Raw genomic sequence first — 19,039 nt, forward strand, 5'->3', positions numbered from 1 at the left:
TATGAACTGTAAGTATAAGAAACATATACTAGATTTCTGTTTTTGCCTATAATAAGCAACATTAGCAGAAAAATGAACTAGCTATGAGATTTTTTTTTCCATTTAAAAGATTCGGCACATTCCTCAACTGTGAGAACACGGCATACTACAGTGCTCCTCAAAGGTAGGGAGTATAATGGAACCACTTAAAGTTTGGTTTTTAAAATTTGATTTTTATTAACTATGTGACCTTGGGCAAGTCAATTCACTTCTCTAAGACTCCGTTTCTTAGTAGATTAAATAGGAGAATAGGGTTGCCATGAGAACAAAATGAGATGATATCAGAAGCACTTGGCAAAATACTTGGCACAATAGAACTGACAAGAGCTGATAATACGAACAATAGAACACATAAAGACAATTCTTGCCCAGTGAGTACTTGGATTCATTTGTAGATTTTGACACCATTTGCTTGGCTGTGATTCTGAATTAAGAACTTCACAGTTGAAGGGAGTGTATTTACCTCTTACACAACAGTGGTTGTCCTTCCTGAGATGACAGGTGAAATCATCCATGGTTTATACACAGCCATCTAATTTCTTAGAGCATCCTTTTATTTTAAAGAGTAACTTTTAAAAATCTGGGATAGTTTCCAATCAGGCAATTAAATTTGTTTCCCAGAATTAGTTTCTTATTTCCAATCAAACGCATTTTTTTTTTTTACCCATCTTCTCATCACATGTCTTTGTGGTCCAGAATATAGGAAATTTACTACAGATATAGCCTTATTTCATCAGGGAATAAGCATACTGACCCATGGTTTGGCAAATCACTTGAAATAATTTCACAGGAAGAAAAGTATAATATTTATTAAAATTAATATGGTTCTCAAACACCATGAATAATCCATTGAGAGTTGATGACATTTTACATAATTGTGGAATAATATAAATCACTATGCTATAAGACAATGTCTTAAGTGAAAGAAACCTGGCCACTTACAGCCAGTGCTGTACAACAAAAAGACAATGCATTTCAAAGCCTCAGATTTGGATCCCAGCTTGACTGTTAGTAGAGTGAACATAAAAATGTTTCTTTACCTTCTTTTCTCTTGACAGGCTCTACTTCCCACTGGTGAAGTGTCACCATTTGATAGTCTTAACCAGAAAGTGACTGAGACTGATGTCTCAATGGATAGAGATTACTGTAATCAATGTTTGAGGGAAAAACACAGGCCACAGGAGCATCTGTGACTTGTGCTTTTCCGAATAGGGTTTCAGGAGCTTCAGTATTTAAAGGAGAAAGAGCAAGCAGAAGGGAAAAAAAGAGAGGGAAGGGAAGGGAAGCAGTGAGGCAAATGCTTACATTCTTGTGAGGCTCTGATTAGCCTCAGTAAATCTGCATAAGGGGAGTAGAGGAAAAAGTCAATTATGCATCCATCTCAGGGTAGGCAGAAGGATGATTTCTCTTCTCATCCTTGTCCTGTACCTGTGAAGATAAGCTGGTAATGGGCAATTTCAGGGTGAGATTCAACAGAACTTGGTTTTAGGGATAGTTTATAGATAGAATATGTATCCTGAAAGATTTAGGGACCATAAGGAATTTCCTTGTGAGTAATTTGTGAGGAAGGCCATCTGGAGAGATATGTGGCCTTCCCTAGTTGCAGGAACCTGGCTTATGGATGAGGCTATGACACAGGGTTGTGAAATTACAGCTCTCTTTTGGGGAAGGAAAGAAATAAGGGCAACGTTGTGTGACCCAGTCCCCAGTTTAACATTTCCTTTGGCATAGTGATTTTGGGGTTTCAAAAATTCCATTTTCTTTCACAATAGCATACATTTTAGCAATTTCTACTCCTTTTCTTTCTGTCTCTCCAGCAGGGGAAACTCTGACCCAAAAAGCTATTATAACCATTTCAGAGTGCTTGGCATTGTACCCTTCATTCATTCATTCCTTCCTTCATTCGGCAAATAATTATTGCATGAGTACTACTGGCCGTGTACTCTCACAGCTGCTGGGGACTCAGTGGTGAGAAAGGAGGACAAGTTGCCTGCTCTCAAGGAGTTTATCTTTCATTGGAGAAGTTAGACAATAAATTCAGAAACAAATAGTTAAACAAAATAGTTTGGACTGAGTGCTAAAAATGGTGCCATTATGGCAATAAACCAATTTTATAGTGAAAGGGGCCTGTGCTAGAGGGCTACGCTAATCAGGATGGCCATGGAAATTCTTTGTACTAGGAGAGTTGGCTGCTGAGGAAGAAGCTGTGTGAGGGTCAGAGGGAGGAGATGCTAGGCAGAGGGAACTGCAAATGCACACGCTGTGAAGTATGAAGGCTCTGGGCAGACAAGAGTCAGTAATCAGCCCAGTGTGGCTGAAGCACATTAAGCATAGAGCAGCAGACAAAGGGCAACCTCACTGAGCCAGATCTCATCCAACCTAGTAAACCACGGTAATCACCTTGGATTGCTTTCCAAGCAAGGTGGGAAATCATTGAAGGATTCTAATCAGGGGACTGATATAATCTGGTTTTTATTTTTAAGAGTGATCTGGTTATTATATGGGGAATACATTGTAAAGAATCAAGAGAGGATGTCTTAGTCTATGCCCACTGCTATAAATGACCATAGACTGGGTAATTTATAAATAGTAGAAGTTTGCTTTTCACAGTTCTGCATGTTTGGAAGTCCAAGATCAAGGTGCCAGAAGGTTTGGTGTCTGGTAAGGGCCTGGTCTCTACTTTCAAGATAGTGCCTTGAACCCTGCTTCCTCCAGACAAGATGAACACTATGTCCTCACATGGCAGAAAGGACAGAAGGGCAAAAAAGAGAGCAAACAGTTCCCTTGCACCTCTTTTTTTTTTATACTTCAAGTTCTAGGGTACATGTGCACAACGTGCAGGTTTGTTACATATGTATACATGAGCCATGGTGGTGTGCTGCACCCATGAGCTCATCATTTACATTAGGTATCTCTCCTAATGTTATCCCTCCCCCCTCCCCCCACCCCACAACAGGCCCCGGTGTGTGATGTTCTCCTTCCTGTGTCCAAGTGTTCTCATTGTTCAATTCCCACCTATGAGTGAGAACATGTGGTGTTTGGTTTTTCGTCCTTGCGATAGTTTGCTGAGAATGATGGTTTCCAGCTTCATCCATATCCCTACAAAGGACATGAACTCATCATTTTTTATGACTGCATAGGATTCCATAGTGTATATGTGCCACATTTTCTTAATCCAGTCTATCATTGATGGACATTTGGGTTGGTTCCAAGTCTTTGCTATTGCCCCTGCACCTCTTTTATAAAAGCATTAATCTTATTCATAAAGGTAGGGCTCTTATGGCATGATCACCGCCCAAAGAGCCTCACCTCTTAACACCACCAGCCATGAGAATTAAGTAGCAATATGAATTTTAGCAGGGACACAAATATGGAAACCACAGCAAAGAGACCAGTTAGGAGACAACTGTACTTCAGGTAACAGATCATGATGGCTTAGACCGAGGTTACATCAGAGAAGAGAGAGAATGGAATTTTAAAAAAGGGGGTGGATTCGGTGCACATTTTAGATACTGAATGGACAGAGCCAGTATGCTATATTGTCTCTTCAATGTCTTTAGTGCCCCTGTGTTTTAAATGGAAATTGTGATTAGAATGCTCTGTTGTCTTCACCTAATTTGTAGAGACCCAGAAAAGTAAGAGTAAATTATTTGATTCTCTTGGGACAGAAGGTTAAAATCTACATTATCCAACTGATATATACTTTTTTCCAGAGTTCTCAAACTTGCTCCTGATCTCTAGAAACTTAAACAAAACACATCCTTAAGAAGATAAAACTGAATGGACATAGTGACCACAAAGGTTTTCACTATCAAGAAAAAAAAAAAAGGGAGAGGAAGCTATAAACTAAAGAAGCAGTTGTATTTGTCCAGGTTTTGGCCTGCGGAATTTTTCAGACCATGTCTTTTGGGGCAATCATATTGGTAGGAATTGCCTTCTGTTTACTCAACTCAGAAAGATTCCAGCTTCCACGATATTTTGAATAAAAGTGTATGCCCCTGTGTGCTTCTGTGTGCCACTGTGTGTGTGTGTTAACAAGGCAGATATTGATGAAGTATTTGAAGCCTCAACTGGACTGTTGAGGAGGGAAGAAATTGTGTTGAGGGTGGCTAATAAGTGTTATATAAAAGTTGCTACTTACATAGCATGTTCTTATAAATTTTCTCAGTAGAGCCTCAAAACTATCCCATAAGATAATCTTCCACACCACTTCCCATTAAGGGATAAATAAAAATCAAAACATTTTGCAGAATGCTGAAGTAAACTGAGAGAGATTTGAGAGTATCTAAATGGGCTTGGGAAATTTTTATTACATTTTATTGTAGCATTAGAAAAATAAGATACAAAGTATTAGTGATTGCTGTAAACTTTTAATTTGTGTAACCTCTAAATAGGAACTTGATGCAATTCATATTAAAGAGTTTTTGATTAAAGAGCTCTTCAAATAAGATTAGACAACTTCCCTGTAACACCTATTTGCTCAAGTATGTGATAAAAAATGTTGAAACAAAATTTTTTACCAGTCAAAGATTTGTAAAAATCGCCTACCTGTAAAGCTCTAATAGCTCCTCTCAGACTCCTCCCTAACTCATTTTATGAGGCTGGCATCATCCTGATATTGAAACCTGGCAGAGACACAAGGGAAAAAGAAAATTTCAGGACAATATTCCTGATGACTATCGATGCGAAAATCCTCAATAAAATACTGGCAAACTCAATCCACCAGCATATCAAAAAGGGTATCCACCACGATCAAGTCAGCTTCATCCCTGGGATGCAAGGCTGGTTCAACATATGCAAATCAATAAATATAATCCATCACATAAACAGAACCAATGACAAAAACCACATGATTATCTCAATAGATGCAGAAAAGGCCTTCAATAAAATTCAACACCCCTTCATGCTAAAAGCTCTCAATAAACTAGGTATTGATGGAACATATCTCAAAATAATAAGAGCTATTTATGACAAACCCACAACCAATATCATACTGAATGGGCAAAAGCTGGAAGCATTCCCCTCGAAAATCAGAACAAAACAAATCACCACTCCTATTCAACATAGTATTGGAAGTTCTGGCCAGGGCAATAAGGCAAGAGAACGAAATAAAGTGTGTTTGAATAGAAAGAGAGAAAGTCAAATTGTCTCTGTTTGCAGATGACATGATTGCACATTTTGAAATCCCATCGTTTTAGCCCCAAATCTCCTTAAGCTGATAAGCAACTTCAGCAAAGTCTCAGGATACAAAATCAATGTGCAAAAATCACGAGCATTCCTATACACCAATAATAGACACACAGAGAGTCAAATCATGAGTAAACTCCCATTCACAATTGCTACAAAGAGAATAAAATACCTAGGAATCCAACTTACAAGGGATGTGAAGGACCTCTTCAAGCAGAACTACAAACCACCGCTCAAGGAAATAAGAGAGGACACAAACAAATGAAAAAACATTCCATGATCATGGATAGGAAGAATCAATATCATGAAAATGGCCGTACTGCCCAAAGTAATTTATAGATTAAATGCTATCCCCATCAAGCTACCACTGACTTTCTTCACAGAGTTAGAATAAACTACTCTACATTTCATATGGAACTAAAAATGAACCCGTATAGCCAAGACAATCCTAAGCAAAAAGAACAAAGTTGGAGGCATCATGCTACCTGACTTCACACTATATTATAAGGGCTATAGCTACCAAAACAGCATGATACTGGTACCAAAACAGATATATAGACCAACGGAACAGAATAGAAGCCTCAGAAATAATGTCACACATCTAGATCTTTGACAAACCTGATAAAAACAAGCAACGGGGAAAGGATTCACTATTTATTCAATGGTTCCGGGAAAACTGGCTAGACATATGCAGAAAACTGAAACTGGACCCCTTCCTTACACCTTATACAAAAATTAACTCAAGTGCATTAAATACTTAAACATAAGACCTAAAACCATAAAAACCCTAGAAGAAAAACCAGGCAATACTATTCAGGACATAGGCATGGGCAAAGACTTCATGACCAAAACACCAAAAGCAATGGCAACAAAAGCCAAAATTGACAAATGGGATCTCATTAAACTAAAGAGCTTCTGCACAGCAAAAGAAACTATCATCAGAGTTAACAGGCAACCTACAGAATGGGAGAAATTTTTTGCATTCTATCTATCTAACAAAGGATTAATATCCAGAATCTACAAAGAACTTAAACAAATTTACAAGAAAAAAACCAACAACTCCATCAAGAAGTGGGTGAAGGATATGAACAGACATTTCTCAAAACAAGACATTTATGCAGCCAACAAACATATGAAAAAAAGCTCATCATCACTGGTCAGTAGAGAAATGCAAAGCAAAACCACCTTTTTTGATGAGATAAACTTCATGGGAGGAGAATTAGAAAATACAGCAGCATGGATCTTGAATGGTCTTCAGGGATTCAAATTTATAAGGTCATACTTTCAGCTTTGAAGATTGATAACTTAGAAAGGCAAAAAGATTATGCAAAAGAGTTTTCTCATTCCCTTTTCAAATGCACCCATTGATCCTGCAATCATGGAGTAGGAATTTGTTACACTTTAGCTATTGGTTTCATCAACTGAGGCAGTGGATAAAAGTTTGTCCCTATTCCAAAATCAGATGTCTGTAAGCTTTCTATGGTAGTCACTGTTGTGCCTCCTGTCTTGGTTCAAACCTCTATAGCAAATTACCATAGGCTGAGTGGCTTCTTTTTTTTTTTTTTTTTTTTGAGGAGTCTTGCTCTTTCGCCCAGGCTGGACTGCAGTGGTGCTATCTCAGCTCACTGCAAGCTCCGCCTCCCGGGTTCAAGTGAGTCTCCTGCCTCAGCCTCCCGAGTAGCTGGGACTACGGGCACCCGCCACTGCGCCTGGCTAATTTTTTTGTATTTTTAGTAGAGACGGGGTTTCACCATGTTAGCCAGGGTGGTCTCAATCTCCTGACCTCGTGATCTGCCCGCCTCGGCCTCCCAAAGTGCTGGGATTACAGGCGACTGAGTGGCTTCTAAACAACAGAAATTTATTTCTCACAGTTCTGGCGGGTAGGAATCTGAGGTCTAGGTACCAGCATGGTCAGGTTCTTGTAGGGCTCTCTTTCAGGTTGCAGACAGCTGCCTTCCAGATGTATCCTCACAGGGTGCAAAGAGAGCTGAGAGGGAGTGCTGACTTGCATCCTCTTCTTATAAAGGACACTAAGCCCATCAGGGGCTCTACCCTCATGACCTAATTACTTCCCAAAGGCCTCACCTTCCAATTCCATCATATTAGGGGTTAGGATTTCAACATACGAATTTGTGTGGAGAACACACACATTCAGTCCACAACAGTTATTATGTTGGTGCAAAAGTAATTGTGGTTCTTGCTGTTGAAAGTAAAGGCAAAAACTGCAATTACTTTGGCAACAACCTAATAATAAAAAGAACCTTTTCCTCTTCAGCTGATAGCCATGCAGTCAGACTGTCGTGGCAGTAGCCTGATAGCTGCCCCGACATTTGGCTCTTATATAAGGGGGAGGTGGGAGTTCCCGTGCTTGCTGCTGGGCAGCTGAGGGAGCAGAATTGAGGTGTGGACTCCAGGTGGGTCTGATGGTGTCATGGGCAAGGAGACCTATGTCCTCTCAATAGCAGTACACACCTGATACCCTGAAACTGCAAGGAGAATGCCTAAGAGTGGCCTCTGTGGGCTCCCCCTGACCATAATCAATGCTATTGCTCAGAAGCAACTATCCTTTCTCTGTTATCAACCATTCAGGAGCCTCTCTCCATCTGAATCTGCCTTCATAGAGTTATGCACGATCCTGAACCATCCCACGATGTGGTAAACCTGCAGATACGGAGTGGGATTAGGAGGGAACCAGGGGAGTCCTGTGTTTTGGGAATGTTCTGAAGGAGTTGCTTGCTTATATTCAGCCTGCACACACCAGTATAGCTATAATGATGGTTAATAATTACTGACTACTCTGTTTAATCAATGCCCAGGTCAGAGAGTTGTTAAATATTTTCAGCATTGCCTCTGATAATATGTACTCAGAATGATGTGGGAGCTGTGAGATACTTACAAGTATTTCCCCTGCCTAAACAGTGCTCTTGTTACTCTTATGTATTATGAACAAAGTGCGTCGTTTTGGGAACATGTACCTATTTGCAAATTTCCATGGCTTGTTATCTATAATTCTCATGATAGTCATGCAGGGCAGCTGCTAGAACTATCAGCATTTTATAGGCATTGAAACGGAGAAATTAAACAACTTGCCCAAATGCGTAGAGAGAATAAGTATGGAAGACACTGAAATGCCCACTTCATCAGTGTAGCTCTGGTCAAGAGGTAGAGAATAAATTTGATACTTTTTTGTTAAAAGGGGAAAAGGCATAAGTTAATATTTATAGTTTACCCAAGAGAAAGACAATGTACACTGTGCATTTCAGTAACTCCATTCTCTGCTCAGAATAACTGTAGAGCAGAGCACATTAATGGATTCATTCTTTCAATAAATATTTATTATTAAGTACCTTCTGTGTTCAAAGTATTGTGTGAGATGCTGATGATAGAAGATTTAGACTATGCTGTTCAGGAATGGTCTAGGGGGAGAATTTAATTACTAGGGATTCTAATAGCCTGAAGCAACATGTAGCGGCAGTTGACCCCCTTGTCTGTCCTCAGGTGGATCAAGCTGAAGACTATTCTGCAGGCTCCACAGAGGAATGGGGCTCCATGGGGTGACAAGGTCAATAATCCACTCTCCTATTATCTTTCCCTTTTTCTCTGTTTCAGTCTTCTCAGTCTTCCACTCCCCATTCCTAATCCCTGGGATCACTTTTCAAAATAGGCTGCCTGCAAAAGGGCCCTTGTTTTATGCTCTCTTCTTAAGAGGAACACAGCCTAAACAGCTGGTACAAGAAATGGATGTAAATATCAGATTCTCAGGGTGGGATTCTAGACCTGGATCACTCACTGATCAGACAGCAGTCAGGATCCCTTGGCCAGTGGTCAGTAGATGAAGATAATCCCTGGCAGTGGATGCTTCCCAATCACCAAGATGCTCAGCAATGGTGGACTGGGATAACATGGAAGTGGAAGGCAAAGCATTGGCTCATATGGTAGTAGGTTAGGTAAATGATACAGGGACAATGGTAGTTATAAGAATTGTGAAGTTAACTACTTTTTACCAAAGGCTTTAGAAGCTTTGGGAAAAAAATTTAACAGTCTCAGGCTAATTAACTATCAACTCAAGATGCACTGTGAAAGTCATTTGGGCTCCATGGAACCATTTCATAGTCTTAATCTCCTATAACCATGGGGAAACCATGCTGAAAACCAGCCCTGATATTTAATAATAAGAGCAGCAGAGCAACAAAGGAGCATGTATGAATGACACCCTGTATGGTTTGACAGCTGTCTTCCAAAATGCCACATGTTCATTGAATAAAGGCCACCATACACTGCTGTGTCCCCAAGCAACTAGAATACATGAGTTGAGATCCAAGGATGAAAATAGGATTACGTATTCTTACCAAAACTGCTAGAGACCTACTTGAATAATTTGTTTTCTGTCCCTATGAATTTAGAATTTTTTGGATTAGAAATTCAGGTTCCTGTTATTGGAACTTTGACAACACTATTCAGCAAAAGTTACTTTGAACTTTAAGCTATGACAACCATCTGGTTATTTAGGACTTCTCACACCAGTGGGCAAGGAAGCAGTAAAGTTACTATATTTGCAGGAGTTATTGATCCTGCTTACCTTGAGGAGCTGGAAGTTGGAAATCGTAATCTCTGGCTCAGGAATCTCTTGGTACTCTCAGGTGCAGTGGTAATTGTAAATGAGAAGCTGCAGTAAGCACAGTCCAACAAGTGCTCAGACCCTCTGGTTATGAAGGCTTGGATAACTCAACCACCTGACTGAGAATGAGGGAAACCTAGAATGGGTGGTGAAGGAAGGAGATGATAAATGTCAGCTATAGCCTAAGGATAAAATGCAACATGTTCTACATGCCAGTTACGTAGAGGATGTATATACATATAACATAGAAACATATCCATGTACACATGTACATGTACCTATGTATCAGAATGTTAATAGTGACTAATACTCAGTATTATGATTATAGACGATTTTAGCTTTTTAAGTATTTTGGTTTGTTTTGTTTTTAATTGACACATAATAATTATACATATTTACGGGGTACAGTGTGATGTTTTGATACATATATACATTGTGTAATAATCAAATCAGAGCATTTAGAATATTCATCACTAATATGGTCATCATTTTTTGTGGTGAAAAAATTTGAAATCTTTCTCCTATTTTGAAATATACAATATTGTTAACCATAGTCACCCTACTGTACAATATAATACCAGATCTTATTTCTCTGATCAATGGGTAACTTTGTACCTGTTGACCAGTCTCTCCTTATCCCTCCCCACTATCCTTCTCAGCCTCTGATAACTAATATTCTACTCTCTACTTCTAGGAGATTCTTTAGATTCCACATATGAATGAGATCAGGCATATTTTTTTCTATGTCTGGCTTATTTCACTTAACATAATGTCCTTTAGGTTCATTCATATTGTTGTAAATGACAACATTTCATTCTTTTAATGGCTCAATAGTATTCCATTGTGTATATGACTTTAGTTTGGGCAAGGATTTTTTGGATAAGATCCCAAAAGCACAGGCAGCAAAAGCAAAAATAGACAAATGGAATTATATCAAACAAAAAAGCTTCTGCACAGCAAAGGAAACAATCAACAGAGAGAAGAGACAATCTACAGAATAGGAAAAAATATTAACATTTTCAAATTATGCATCTAACAGGAACCTAGTAGTTAATATCCAGAATCTATAAGGAACACAACTCAATAGCAAAATACATCATCCAATTTAATAAACGGGCAAAAGACCTGAGCAAACATTTCTCAAAATAAGACATACAAATTACAAACAAGTATAAAAAAAATAAAATGCTCATCATCACTAATCATCAAGGAAATGCAAATGAAAACTACAATAAGATATCACCTCGCCCTAGTGAGAGTGACTATCATCAATAAGACACAAAATAACAAATGTCAGCATGGATATGGAGAAAAGGGAAGTATTATACACTGTTGGTGGGAATGTAAATTAGTATAGCCATTCTTGAAAACAGTAAGGAGTTTCCTCAAAAAATTAAAAATAGAACTATCATATGATCTCGCAGTTTCACTACTGGGTATATACCCACAGGAAATAAGATCAGTATGTTGAAGAGACATCCGCATCCCCACGTTTATTGCAGCACTATTCATGATAGCCAAAATATGAAATCAACTTAACTGTCCATCTCAGGATGAATGGATTAAAAAATGTGACATATATTTTGTTTTTGCTTTTATTTTTAAATGTCGATTTTACAGTAAGAAAGAGAGATAGAGAAATCAGAGAGCTGGGCATCGTTTGAAATCTAGGTGGAGAAAGTCATGGCTCCCCAGCTCTTGTGCTCTGCATGCCTACAGAATTAGCACCACTTAGATATTACCAAGGCTTAGTGCCCAAGCCGCACCTGGACCCTGAGCCACAACTAGAGTGACTGAGGAGCATTGTGCTGAAATGTGGGGAGCAGGGACTTAAAGCAGCCTTGGGCAGTGAACATTGTGGTCCAGTGAGTCCCCTAGGTCCCTTCCTCCAAACCATTCTGTCCTCAAGGCTCTGGCACTCTGGGCCTGTGATGGGAGGGGCAGCCTCAAAGATCTCTAAAATGCCTTTGGGGTCATTCTCCCATTGGAGAATTGGTGGGTCTTATAAATAGCACCCACCTTCCTTCTATTCTTCTCATCCAATGGTAGCTTAGCTACATCCTTGGTTTTCCTTCCCAAATATTTTTTTTTATTTTTAGTTTTTCACATGGCCAGATTGAGTTTTCCAAATCTCTATGTTTTGTTTCCCTTTTGATCATAAATTCATCTTTAAATCATTTTTCCGTTTTCACATTTTACTATGAGCAGTTAAGAGAAGTCACATAGCACTCTCTATGCTTTGCTTCTTAGAGATTTCATCTGCCAAATATCCTAATTCATGCTGTTAAGTTCTGCCTTCCACAAAGTTCTAGAACAGGAACATAGTTTAGTCAATTTCTTTTTTTTTTTTTATCTTTTCTTTTTTGTTTTTTTTGAGACAGGGTCTGGCTTTGTTGCCCAGGCTGGGTGCAGTGGCACAATCTCAGCTCACTGCAACCTCCAGCCCCTGGGCTCAAGTGATTCTCCTCCCTCAGCCTTCCAAGTAGCTGGAACTTCAAGTGTGCACAACCATGCCTGGCTTATTTTTGTATTTTTTGTAGATAGGAGGTCTCACTTTGTTGCCCAGGCTGGTCTCAAACTCCTGGCCTCAAGCTATCCACCCACTTTGGCCTCCAAAATTGCTGGGACTACAGGTATGCCCCACTGTGACTGGCTAGCTAATTTCTTCACCACTTTGTAACAAGAATGGCCTTTCTTCCAGTTTCCAATGAGACATTCCTCATTCCATCTAAGACCTCATCTGAATGACCTTTATTGTCTGTTTTTCTATGAGCATTCTCGTCATGACGTCTTAAATAATATCCAAGGAGATTCAGATTTTCCCTACAGCTCTTCTTTTCTTCTGAGCCCTCACCAGAATCACCCTCCATGCTCCATTCATGGCAATAAAGGCTTTTTTCAGCATTCACTTCAAAACTATTCTAGCCTCTCTCCATTACCCAGTATCAAAGTTCCTTCCACATTTTTAGATATTTGTTATAGTAACACCCCTCTCCTGGTACAAATTTCTGTGTTAGTCTGTTTTATGCTGAGACTGACTAATTTTAAAAGCAGAGAAATGAGTTCCTTCACAGTTCTGGAGACTGGGAAGTTTAATTTCAAGGTGCTAGCATCTAGTGAAGGCCTTCTTGCTGTTCCTTACATGGCGAAAGGAAGAAGGGCAAAAGAGAGTGAACCCACTACCACAGGTCCTTTTTATAGTGGCATTAGTCTATTTTTGAGGGCAGAACCCTTATGACCTAAGCACCTCCCATTAGACCCCACCTCCCAACAGTGTGGCTTTGGCAGTGAAGTTTCTAACAGATAAAATTTGGAGACACATTCGAGCCATAACATAGAGGAAGTTACCATTTAAAATGTAGTCTATTTAGAATATTGAGATTCTGAGTGACTTTTACATTTTTTATTGTGTATTTCTATAAGTAAAGGCCAAAGCAATGTTTTTCTTTTATAATAAAGAGTGATTCATTGGCATTTTATTTTTTTTCCAAATCATCTTTAATTTGGATAGAAATTGCTTTAGATTAATGGATTTATCTTATTTTTTCCTGAGACTGTTTTTCAATCAGCAAAACGACTGTTGATATAGTTAATCTAAAGATCTCTGATATGATAGATGTCTAAGAGTAACCACTCTGTGCACACTAAAATGCTAGAAAGGAAACAAACCAAATAAGTAAAGAAGGCTATTTCCTGAGAGAAGGATTCAGAGGGAAGGACTTTCCTTTCCTCTGTACCTTTCTCTATGGTTTAAATTTAAAAAAAAAACCAGTGAATATCATTTTGTTACTAAAATTGAAACCAATATTTTAACAGAACATAATCTGCACTGCAAAAGTACTAACTCCTATATGATGAAAACTGAAGGTCACAGCCAAGTCTCAGGTGTTGTAGACACTGAATTTCAACATTGGCTTTGTGACACCACAACAGAATTTCAATTACAGGATGCTCTGTGTTTAGAAAGAAGGAATATTAGAGACCATCTAATCCAAACCTCATCTGACAAATGAGTAACCTAAAACTTAAATATCATGGTCAGAAAAATGATAAAAATGTGTGTTCAATTACTAGATATTGTATTCTTTCATTCATTCGCCAAATAGATACTGAGAATCTGCTGTGTGCCTGGCACTGTTCTATGCATGAGGGAGCCAATGAACAAAACAGAAGCAATTCCAGCCATTGTGAAAGTTAGACTCTAATGGGCTCCATTGCTTAGGTCAGTGACTCTGGACCTCTGGATCCTTGAAGATGCTGAATTATCAGTGGCTCCTAAACTGTGGTGTTTCAGGGATACTATGGTTTAAATGTGTTCCTTCCAAAATTCATGTGTTGGAAATTTAATCCCCAATGTAACAATGTTGGGAGGTGGGGCCTAATGGGATGTGTTTAGGTGATGAAGGCTCTGCTCTCATGAATGGTTAAATGCTTTTATAAGAAAAACTGCAGAAGTGGGTTTTCCCTCTCTGTTCTTCTGTCATGTGAGGATACAGCATCCCTCCCCTTCAGAACACTCAGTATTCAAGGCATCATCTTGGAAGCAGAGAGATTGGGCCCCAACCTACCACTGTCTTGATATTGGACTTCCAGCCTCCAAAACTGTGAGAAAATAAATGTCTGTTTTTTCACAAATTACCCAGTATCAGGTATTCTCTTGTAGCAGCACACAACAGATTAAGACAAGGGGTTACCTTGGGTAGCAGAGGTCAGGGAAAGAAGAGTTAATAGGTAAAGCTTTTAAAACTCTCTTAAGCCAGAGCTACTTCTTTTTAGCTATTTTATATGTTAGAATTGTACCTAAATTTTTAGTTGCAGAATGGGGTTCAGCTCTTGAAAGGAAAGTTGAGATTGTCTGAACTGAAAGGTATGCATTAGAATCAATCACTTGAAGAGTACAACCCACTTTCCATTCATTCTGACTCAGAAGGCTGGATTGAAACCTAAGAATCTGCATTTTAACCAGTCCACAGATGAATCTGTTGAGGCTAATAAAAAGTTCACATTTTGTAAAATACTAGGATGTCTGGCAATGAATTAGCATATGATTCTCTAATGAGCACAGCAGATAGTTGCAAATAAAGACTTACTTTCCAGAAACACATTAATTTAGTTCATACCAATAAGTCATGGAGCATTTTTAGGAGGAGGAGTGGAGTAATATCATGCTATGAGAGATAATCATAACTTTTAGAACATAGGGAAACACTGCCCCAGTTCATACCTATGTAAACAGAGATATTTCTACAAAACTAAGTCAAATGAATAAATGTCCATGTGTGCCCAAATCTGGATTTGGCACTAGCAAAACCTAAGCTGGATTTAGTAATAATTATGAAACCATAGAGAAGTAATTTCAATATGCTGAGAGAAATGAGTGTGATTTGTAAAAATTCAATTGTACCCAAAGGAGACAAATTTTGCAATTTGGGGGATTGGAGTTCTCTGTAATTTTTATGGCTTTCCTCTTGATTATAAAAGTAATGTGTATTAGCTGAAGAGAACTTAGAAATTACAAAAAAAGGTTTTCTTTTTAAAAAAGCAAATTACCTTGGTCTCACAAAACAGCAGTGACTTCTACTGCTATAAACATTTTGCTATATATTCTTCCCAAATTAAATGCATATATTTAAAAATAAAATTCAAGATATATGTTAGTTTTTTATTTAATTTTTCAGTGTCAAGTTACAAAACAATTTTGTTAAAATATATATTTTTGGAAAAAATCAGAAAAATAGCATAATATATATGGAAAATAAAAGATCAAATCAAATAATTATATACTTATGATAAGTACAGTTTTACAGAGATATTATATTTCCATAATGCTTTATTTGAAAAATCCTACCTTATAGTAATATAATTTTTTCAAAAAAAGTACTTAAGATTTTATTTTTTTAATAGAAAATATTTTACTTTAAGTTCTGGGGTATATGTGCAGAATGTGCAGGTTTGTTACATAGGTACACATGTGCCATGGTGGTTTGCTGCACCTATTCACTCGTCATCTAGGTTTGAAGCCCCGCATGCGTTAGGTATTTGTCCTAATGCTCTCCCTCCCCTTGTCCCCCATCCCCCCCCAAAAAAGTTAAAATTTTAGAAAGACGTTTACTTCGTTCTACAGCATTAACTTTCTGAAAAACAAATTTAGAAATTATTGAATTTTCAGGTTGTAAAAAACAGCCATCATTTCTCTTTGCCCCCAGAAAAATATGGTCCTTCAATTGTTGGCAAGCCTCTTACGGAAAATCACCAAGGCTGCACAATGAGTCAGTGTCAGTGGAAGTCATGAAAGGGGAAAAAAATGTTGAACACTGGCAGCACTGTGCTCATTCCAGAAAATAGAAATAATGCCTCTCTTCATCTACAACATTATTTTCTTTGACTTTCTAGTTGCATCTGGTATAAAAGGGAACTATTTATAACACAAAGATTATTTGTGCCATATTATCAAGTTAATATACAGCAAGAGCACTGAATTTTCTTTCTTACCCAACCAATAATTTGAAAGGATGTGCTTAGCAGATAGTTATAGGCTTTAAGAAGAAAGGGGTGTCTGCTGTTAAATTAAAACGAATTGAGGAAAATAAGCTTATCTGTCATAAACCCACAGATAATAATTATGGTAGAGCAAAATGTTTATTATCACAATGTTTATATAATATTATAATTAACAAAGGAATTATACTGAAGCACAATATATCATTTATCTTCATCACTTTTGTGCCAAAAAAGACAGACACAGTAGTCTCTTTATGCCGCAGATAAAGAAGGTGTTGAATATGACCAGCAATCCAAGGCAGAATCTGAAATACAAGCCAGGTATCTAATTCCTGATTAATATTCCAGTTTTTACTCAAAATAAGCCACTTTTGCATTCTTCAAAGGCTTTACAGAAATTTCTGAAGGCAAGAAAGGGATTATATTTAGAATTCTTATCTGCCTGTGTCCATGTTCCATCTTTGTTTGATAACAAAATCCCCTTAGAAGCAAAAACAGGCAGGTATAACACATGAACGCATAAGTTGTGACTAGTATAGTTATGAGCTGACAACTAGACCTAGACTGAGAATGACCCTAGTTTAGGGCCTGAGCTTATAATGCTAGAGTTATGGGTCATTGTTTGAACTCCTATTGGCCTGATCCCTTTCTTTCTGTAGGGTGGCTAGCAGAGTGAGCACTTAGTACAGACATTCAAATGGCCAAGGTAAACCAGTGGTTTGATCATCCAATAAAGTTATCAGAAAGGTAAAACATACCTCTGGGCCTGCTGACTGCTCCTGTACTCCAGTTAGCAAAGCCTCAGAAGAATAAGGAATGAGTAAGGACATTGGTCTAGACAGTCATTCTGGGGACTTAAAGGAATGGGATAAGCATTTGCTGCAATCTTCAATCACTTGCACTCTTGCAGGTGAGGGTACTAATTAAAGTTAACGTTGAGTATTTAATGCCTGATGTTACCTTGGGCTTGTTAGAGGATATCACATTTATGATGTACCGTAGAGATACACCTTTCAAGGGGGTGGTTTGTAAGTACATAATATAGATGAAAGTGCATCAAGTCAAAATTGCCTTGAGGAAAACTGCATATGAAAACCTAATAAACATGTTTTAAAACATTCAATATTGCCAAATTTGCCTCCCCTATTGAAACATACTGTGTTTCCCCCACCCTAATTGAACACTGCAAACTAATGTAGGTAGCTTGCTTCTGGGACATGTTGCATTGGAAAAAAAGAAAGAAAGAAAGAAAAGAAAAGTAGCTTTAAAGCCTAGAATCATACTCTGTATGGAGATATGCTCCTGACTGAGAGAACAGGAAATTCTATCAAGGTTCTCACACTCACTTAGAGGCATGTATTCATTGCATGAAATGGCAATCGGAAGAGTCTGCAATATTTTAATTGCTCATTCATTTGTTCTCTTTTTCATTTCCAAGCTGCCATTCACACAATCTTGATTTCTGTTTCTCAGATCCTTCCTATCCACCAATCTGTTCCTTAGCAGAGCACAAAAATGTGAATTTGCAAACATTAAATACTCCCTTGGTATGGTTCCATTGTAGCATACTAAGCAGACATCTTCAATCAATCACAACATGACTTTCATCCCATGAGACTCAGATTGGACTTCATAGTCCTATCCCAACACAATCCTCCAGGCAACCACTACCAGCTGACCAGGACAGATGCTCTGACATGCCATATGACATTTTTTAAACCACTTAGGTCCTTTATTTTTGAGCTTCAGTCACCTTTATGGCTAAAAAAAAAAAAAAAAAAAAAATACATTAGATGAGATACTCTCCAGACCTTTTTCTGAAATTCTGTGATTTTATTATCTTTTATAGCAGAGATCAACAAACCAAGGCCTGCTGATCAAATCTATGCTGCCATCAGTTTTTGTATAGCCTTGGAGCTAAAAATGAATTTTACATTTTTAAAACATTGGAAAAATCCAAAGAATACTATTTCATGACATAGAAATATAAAGTTAAAATTTGAGTGTCCATAAATAATACTTTATTGGAAAACAGTCATGCTCATTTACTTTCATTTTCTCTATGGCTATTTTCCCACTATAATGGCAGAGTTAAGTAGTTGTATCAGACACCATATGTCCCGGAAACCTAAAATATTTACTAATTGATTCTTTACAGAAAAAGTTGAAACCAGAGTATGGTGAGAAAATTGTGGATTGAATGCCAGGTCAAAAGAAATGTTGTTTAACACAGAGGTTTAAGGATTATGAGGCAAAAGCAAGTGAAATAACATGAATATTTGTCAAAAAGTCATCCAATGGTACCCTTCTAAAATGTGAATTTCATTATAACATTTTTATTATTTTGTTATAAAATGTTTTATAAGAAAGAAGTTCCAAACATAAAAATAAAAAGGAACCAGGCCTTTACGGGGGACCATAAAGATAATCTGACATAAATGTTACAGGTTTCATGTTAGAGCTACTGTGAAATGTAAATTCAACATGAAATTTGTCAGTATTTCATAACCCAGTTAAGATGTAAATTCAACAAATACTCTGCTTGGGAAAGATGCATTGTGTTCTATTTTTCAAATTGTTCAGTTTACTGATTAAAGTATTTTTACATTTACAAAAACAACTAACGTAACTTCCATACTCTTCTATTTCATAAGCTGAAATAAGTCCCTGCTTCCCTCACAGGGATGGTAGAAA

General features: G+C 37.8%; 1 long non-coding RNA gene across 2 annotated transcripts in view; it reads right to left on the reverse strand.

The window, feature by feature from the left end:
• Positions 1-19,039, reverse strand: part of STK32A-AS1 (STK32A antisense RNA 1) — a 57,897-nt gene that overhangs the window by 15,137 nt on the left and 23,721 nt on the right. The window contains exon 2 of one of the 2 annotated variants that reach the window (NR_147190.1): positions 9,806-9,980. This is a non-coding gene — a long non-coding RNA (STK32A antisense RNA 1). Of the gene's footprint in view, positions 1-9,805; positions 9,981-16,498; positions 18,107-19,039 lie in introns of those variants that run through there. The other variant, NR_147191.1, reaches the window with a different exon arrangement.

The sequence above is a fragment of the Homo sapiens genome, chromosome 5 (assembly GCF_000001405.40).
Source record: "Homo sapiens chromosome 5, GRCh38.p14 Primary Assembly".
NCBI lineage: Eukaryota > Metazoa > Chordata > Mammalia > Primates > Hominidae > Homo > Homo sapiens.